At 41.0% G+C, this 6000-nt stretch overlaps 1 protein-coding gene and 1 pseudogene across 4 annotated transcripts in view, besides 3 other annotated features; both read left to right on the top strand.

Annotated features, from left to right (window-relative positions):
* On the top strand, positions 470-751 carry RPL37P13 (ribosomal protein L37 pseudogene 13; annotated as a pseudogene).
* Positions 1918-2187: a silencer, noted in NCBI's record as "silent region_11539". NCBI's record gives its function as "represses an Ori minimal core promoter by ATAC-STARR-seq in GM12878 lymphoblastoid cells {active_cell/tissue: GM12878}" and the evidence as "EXISTENCE:reporter gene assay evidence [ECO:0000049][PMID:35858748]".
* TMEM17 (transmembrane protein 17) overlaps positions 2098-6000 on the top strand; it is a 52665-nt gene continuing 48762 nt past the window's right edge. For all 4 annotated transcript variants that reach the window (XM_011532694.3, XM_024452749.2, XM_011532693.3 and 1 more), the window contains exons 1-3: positions 2098-2263; positions 5499-5602; positions 5743-5856. In XM_011532694.3, the coding sequence (XP_011530996.1) occupies positions 2164-2263; positions 5499-5602; positions 5743-5856 (318 nt within the window). In that variant the 5' untranslated portion in view covers positions 2098-2163. The remainder of the gene's footprint in view (positions 2264-5498; positions 5603-5742; positions 5857-6000) is intronic.
* Positions 2398-2567: a silencer, noted in NCBI's record as "silent region_11538". NCBI's record gives its function as "represses an Ori minimal core promoter by ATAC-STARR-seq in GM12878 lymphoblastoid cells {active_cell/tissue: GM12878}" and the evidence as "EXISTENCE:reporter gene assay evidence [ECO:0000049][PMID:35858748]".
* Positions 2905-3199: a silencer, noted in NCBI's record as "tiled region #12243; K562 Repressive DNase matched - State 5:Enh". NCBI's record gives its function as "represses a minimal TATA promoter and a strong SV40 promoter by Sharpr-MPRA in K562 cells {active_cell/tissue: K562}" and the evidence as "EXISTENCE:reporter gene assay evidence [ECO:0000049][PMID:27701403]".

The raw sequence follows: 6000 nt of genomic DNA, 5'->3' as shown, positions 1-6000 counted from the left end.
CCACACACCCATCAGAAGGGCTAAAAGGAAAGGATAAGAAATAACAAGTGTTGGTGAAGTATATGGAGTAATGGAAATATTCACACATTGCTGGAGGCAGCAGAAATTGGTTTGATCACTTTGGAAAACTGTAGGCAGCCTCTACTAAAGCTGGGTCTTTCGTATCCTATGACACGGCAATTCCACTCTCGATATACACTCAACAAAAATGCATGCATATGTTCACCAAGAGGCATCTTTTCCCCAAAGCAGCACTATACACAACAGCTCCAAACTAGAAAATACAGACACTCATCAACAGTAGAATGAGTAAGCTTATTGTGGTATGATCACAAAGAGCAAGGCAAAAGAATCTACACTCAATGACATGAAGGAATTTCATGAAAGTAATGTTGAAGACAAAGCCAGTTTTTTAAAAAAGTACTTACAGTATGATTGCTTTTATATAAATATGCAAAACAGAAGCAAGATGACAAAGGGAGTGTCATCATCTAGAAAGTGGTGCGATAAGATGCACAGCTAGTGCTGCCCTGTGACTCTAACTCCTTCAAAAGTCCGCCTGTGGCAAACGCGGCTACCCTCCCAAGCCAAGATAAAGTATAATTGGAGTGCCGAGGCTAAAAAATATACCAGTGGGACTGGTCGAATGAGGCACTTAAAAATTGTGTACAGCAGGTTAAGGCATGGATTTTTTAAAGGAATGCCACCTAAACCCAAGAGGACAGCTGCTGCAGCATCCAGTTCATCTTAAGAATTTCAGGCCAGGTACGGTGGCTCACACCTGTAATCCCAGCACTTTGGGAGGCCAAGGCGGGTGGATCACTTGAGGTCAGGAGTTCGAGACCAGCCTGGCCAACATGGCGAAACCCTGTCTCTACTAAAAATACAATAATTAGCCGAGTGTGGTGGCGGGCACCTGTAATCCCAGCCACTCGGTAGGCTGAGGCAGGAGAATCACTTGAACCCAGGAGGCGGAGGTTGCAGTGAGCCGAGATTGTGCCATTGCACTCCAGCCTGGGTGACAGAGCAAGATTCTGTCTAAAAAAAAAAAAAAAAAAAAAAATTTTAGATTAGTCACACAATAAATGTTCTGATTTAAAAAAAAAAAGGCAAAACTCTCCTTTGCTGTTAGAATTCAGGAAAGGTCAGTTATGAGTGAGGAGTGGGTTTAGTGACTGAAAGGAAATAGGAAGGGGGAGTTTCTGGGAATATTGTAAAGTTTCTTGAACAGGGTGCTGATTACACATACAGATTTCAGTCTATGTATATATATTACACTTATTTCTTAAGTAATATATATTACTTACAAAAGGTGTACAATTTTTCTGTATGTGTATTACACTTAGTTTTTTTTAAGTAATATATCTTGAGAGAAAGCTAGAAAATAAGACGTTTAAAAATTTTTGAATCACCTACAATCCCACTATCCAGTGAAAACGACTGTTAACATTTTGGACTTTTTTCCAGTTCTTTTTTTCAAGCCAGTGTGCACACGCTCTCTCCTCCCCTCCACTCATACACATAAATTTTGCTAAATTAGGTTCATTCTCATTTAGTTTTATTTCTGCTGTATTTTTACATAAAGTTAAACTATACCATTCAATATCCTTTGCAAGCATTTTATAAGCAGCTGAAACATACTCCATTGAATGTATGTGCTCCAGTACATTTAATCAGTTGCCCATTGCTGTTTTCTTATTAAAAAATAATCAGTCACATGATGTCTCTCTCTCTCACACACACCCCTACACCTCTAGACATTCTTTAAGCTCTGCATTCGTTCTCTATTTCTCTCCAGAAAGGTTGTACCGATTTACAGTTCCACTGGCAAATGTGAGGGCTCCTTGTATCGCAGTCCAACCCCAGCTCATTTCTTAGTATAGGTTTGTTTTTAGGATGGTCGAGCTCAAAGCAGAACTAAGGGATCTGCCGTTTTGTACACGGCCGAGGCGCGCGGCTCCCTGGGCCTGGAACGCGCTCTGAGCGCGCCGGTCCCTTCCAGGTTGCGCGGGCTCCGGACGAGACCCAGCCCAGCCGGGCAGCCCCGCGCGCTCCCGGGTCCCGCCGGCCTCGCGCCGCCCGGTTGCCGTGGGAACCACGGAGCCTCGGAGCGCCCGCAGACTAGCCCGTGTCTGAGGGGGTGAGGGATACTGAGGCCCAGGCATGGAGCTGCCGGATCCGGTGCGCCAGCGGCTGGGAAACTTCAGCCGGGCCGTGTTCAGTGATTCCAATCGGACCGGTCCAGAGTCCAATGAGGGTCCGGGTGAGTGACCGAGGCCCGGTGCAGGGGGTGTGGCCTGCCGAGGGCTTGGCGTGGATTTTGGAGCGTCCAGAATTTGCCCGTACCTAAAATGGCGATGTCGCCTTCAGCCAGTTCTCCGCAGTGCGGGAGAGCGCCTTGGAGGAGGGGCCGGGCCGGACAGGGAGCTGAGGCGCTGGCGGCCTCCCGCCCCCGGCCGGGCCTGGTCTCCGCGTGGTGCTCCCTGGCCAGCTTGTTGCAAGCGCGGCAGCTGACGTGGGGCCGATCTCTGTGCCGCGCAAGGCCCATCATTGTCCCGGAGAAACCCCAAAAATAAAAAGATAAAAGCCGCCCTTGCTGCACAGGCTGGTCCCCCGCGCGCCGCGAGAGCGAAGGCCCAAGTTGTTTTGCCTCTGCGGCGCCCGCCCCGGCTTTTCTGTCCAGGATGACGAGGAATAGCCCAAGCAATCCCACCTCCCCCGTCCCCACCCCCACCCCAGGGAACAAATTTGCCTTTTCCCTTTTCCTAGCAGAACAAGTATGTTCCTAAGCAAGGCCATTTTCTCGTAGAAGACATTAAAAAAAAAAGTTAATGAGTCCTTTCAAACCACCATCCACTCCCACTGGCATGTGCCATACTAGCCGGGCGTTCAACAAAACTCACCCCTTCCCTGCCTTCTCCTCCTCCCCTATATGTAACTCTTATCATAAGGTAACAAAATACCATGATGCTTCTGCGTCCTTTAACTTGATGTCAAGTGATAACACAGTTTCCTCCAGAACAGTTTCCTCCTCCTACATCATGATGGTAGACAACACACTGTCAACCAAACCCATGTGGTTTTCATCATTCAACTCTGCTGGGAAATATCAATCTTTTCCTCTGCTTGGTTTTAGAGAATTTTTAAAAGGGACAGAGAAAAGTAAAGGCAGTTCCCAAAGCTGCATTTTGTCACCTTGATCACTTGCCTATTTCCCAAATGTAGGCCTTTATGATTTAGGATGTACAGAGAAAAATGTGAAAAAAATAGGTTTTCACGTTTCTGGTTCCAAGGATGAGGCTTAATGAGCACTAACGTCTGATAATACAAGGTAAAAAGACGTTTTCTGAAAAGGACCAGATAGTAAATATTTTAGACTTTGTAGGCCATATGGTCTCCACGGCAGCCATTGACAATAGTTATTGAATAGGCAGGGCTGTGTTCCAATAAAACTTTATGGACACTGAAATTTGTATTTCATATGGATTTCACGTGTGGAAAAAATATTACTTTTTTAACCATTTAAACGTGAAAAAACATTTTTAGCTCATTGACTGTACAAAAACAGGCAGCTGGCCAGTTGTTTACCTATCCCTGATTTATATTGTATGTTTTAATTTAAATTCCATTTACAGAACTCAACTTGAACTTTTGCAAAATTTAGTAAGTTTATGTCTTACGCTTTTAAGGTTCATTTACATATTAATTTGATTTTCATTTCCATGATTATAAGTTTGATCTGCTGAAATATGGACATAGCATAACCTTTAAGATGTTAACACACAATACTTCTAACATGAAAACCATTCTTTGCAAAATTTGACTACAGTTTCTTCTCAAAGGTACTGAAATGTTCAGCTTGCCCAATTTATTATTCTTTCCCAAATTTTCTTCTTTGTGGATTGGAAGTAGGTTTGATTATTTGTACTGTAATAACAAGTTTATGTCATTACCATGTCCGCAGCTTTGTACTGTTGCTATCGAAAAGATCCTAGGCTGGTGAGTTGTCTTCAGATTTAACAGATTTTAAGAATTCATTCCTTTATCAGTGGTAATTTAATAAACAGTTGCAAGCAAAAGTAGATCATAATAATCAGGCATATTCTTGGAGCTAAAAGAAACTATTTTGCTGTGAGAGACCATGACTATTTCTTATATTTTAAAATAATTAAGTGACAGATAAAAACACTCAGCTATGGAGAAAAGGAGAAAATAATGTTTTTAAGACATTTATTTTAGAGCCTTTAAAATCTTACGTGTACAGCAACTGATTTCAATATATGTGTCTGCTCTTAAGAATTTAGTCAAATTTAGGATGTATTTTGTAGGGCTCAATTTTAAAAATCAAATTCTTAATCTAGGACCCTGCTCTCTTACATAAAAGCAGAAAGTGTTATGGAATCAACCTTAGGTAAATGGAACTCATGTATCACAAATGGCTATGCTAGTAATGTCCTTATGACAGTATACTTTCATTAATTCATTCTTATGTGTATTTGATATTCACTGCGTGGAAAGCAAGATGCTAGATTCTATGAGGGTCTCAAATTAGGGTAGGACATGGTGTGTGCTTGCAATGAGCCTGTAGATAAGTAGAAGAGAAGAAGGAAAGAGGACTAATATTTGTTGAGTGCCTACTAAGTGTGCCAGGCACAGTGCTAGGATGAAATAATTTATATTGGCTCTAATTCTCACAAACAGCCTGTGAGGAAGTTTTAATTTCACTATTTTACAGATGAAGAAATAGAAGCTCAAAGAGTTTAAATAATTCATGTCAAGTCTGACATCCAGGGTCACAGAGGTTTGGGGAGCTCGGATTTGCTTGAACTCTGAAGCCCATGATCTGTTCAGTACACCAGACTGTTTTTTGGGGAGGGGAGTGTGGTTCTTTGCTAGCACTTCTTATTGACAGTTTAGAGTGGTAAGTACCTAAAGGGGAAAGGTATTTCTGCTGAGGTGGGGGAACTGATGAAGGAAGTATTGATGGAAAAGATGACACTGAATTGGACTTTAAAGAATGGCTAAGATTAGGGTATGCTGAAAAGAGAGATGTGTCTAATTATAACCTTGGTAATCCGTTTTTGTATAAGATTAGTTTATCTGTGGGAGATTCATTTTTATTTATTTTATGCATTAATTTTATATGCTATTTACATAGAATTCTACAAAAGAGGCAATGATAATTATCTGTTGAATAGGATTTATGTTGATATTCTACATTAAATCTATACCAGTAGTATATGCCAAAAAGTCAGAAGACTGTAATGGCAAAATGGTAAAATAATTGAAAAATATGAAACGTACCCCCAAATAGCCAATATTTGACCTAACTGGTATTAGGATGAATATTCCTTTTACTGTCAATGATTATAAATAGGCATAAAATTTGGTGTTTTACTGAGCCAATATTATAGTTATTAATTCTAGGGAATAGGATATATATATATAGGGCATAAACCCAAGATTCATCATTTGTTCCTTTTCTGTTCCTTCTGTAGAAAATGAAATGGTCTCCAGTTTGGCACTGCAGATGTCACTTTATTTTAATACCTACTATTTCCCACTGTGGTGGGTGAGCAGCATTATGATGCTTCACATGAAGGTAAATCTAAGCTTTAATACTTTTGCTGCCCTGACGTTGTTAGAGTGTCAATAAAATTCAAGTTCTTAATAATTTTTTCTATCTTAAATCAATGTTACTATACATGAGATTTTACAAACATGTTTTGGCTTTTCTTTTAGTATTCAATCTTACCTGACTACTACAAATTCATTGTGATCACTGTTATCATCCTAATAACCTTAATTGAAGCCATCCGGTTGTATCTGGGCTACGTGGGTAACCTACAGGAGAAGGTAAGCTCTTTTTTCCTTTCTCTCAGTGATAGATATAAATGAAATCAGTTTTCATAACAAGTAAAAGGCAGTGAGGTGTGGCAGAAAGAGCACAGGCCTGAATTTAAAGCCTGACTCCAGCTTTACCACTTCTGTCACTGTGGT

This window comes from Homo sapiens, chromosome 2, assembly GCF_000001405.40.
Source record: "Homo sapiens chromosome 2, GRCh38.p14 Primary Assembly".
NCBI classification, from domain to species: Eukaryota; Metazoa; Chordata; class Mammalia; order Primates; family Hominidae; genus Homo; species Homo sapiens.
The sequence above is the reverse complement of the archived record's forward strand: the minus strand, read 5'-3'. Positions and strand labels throughout refer to the sequence as shown.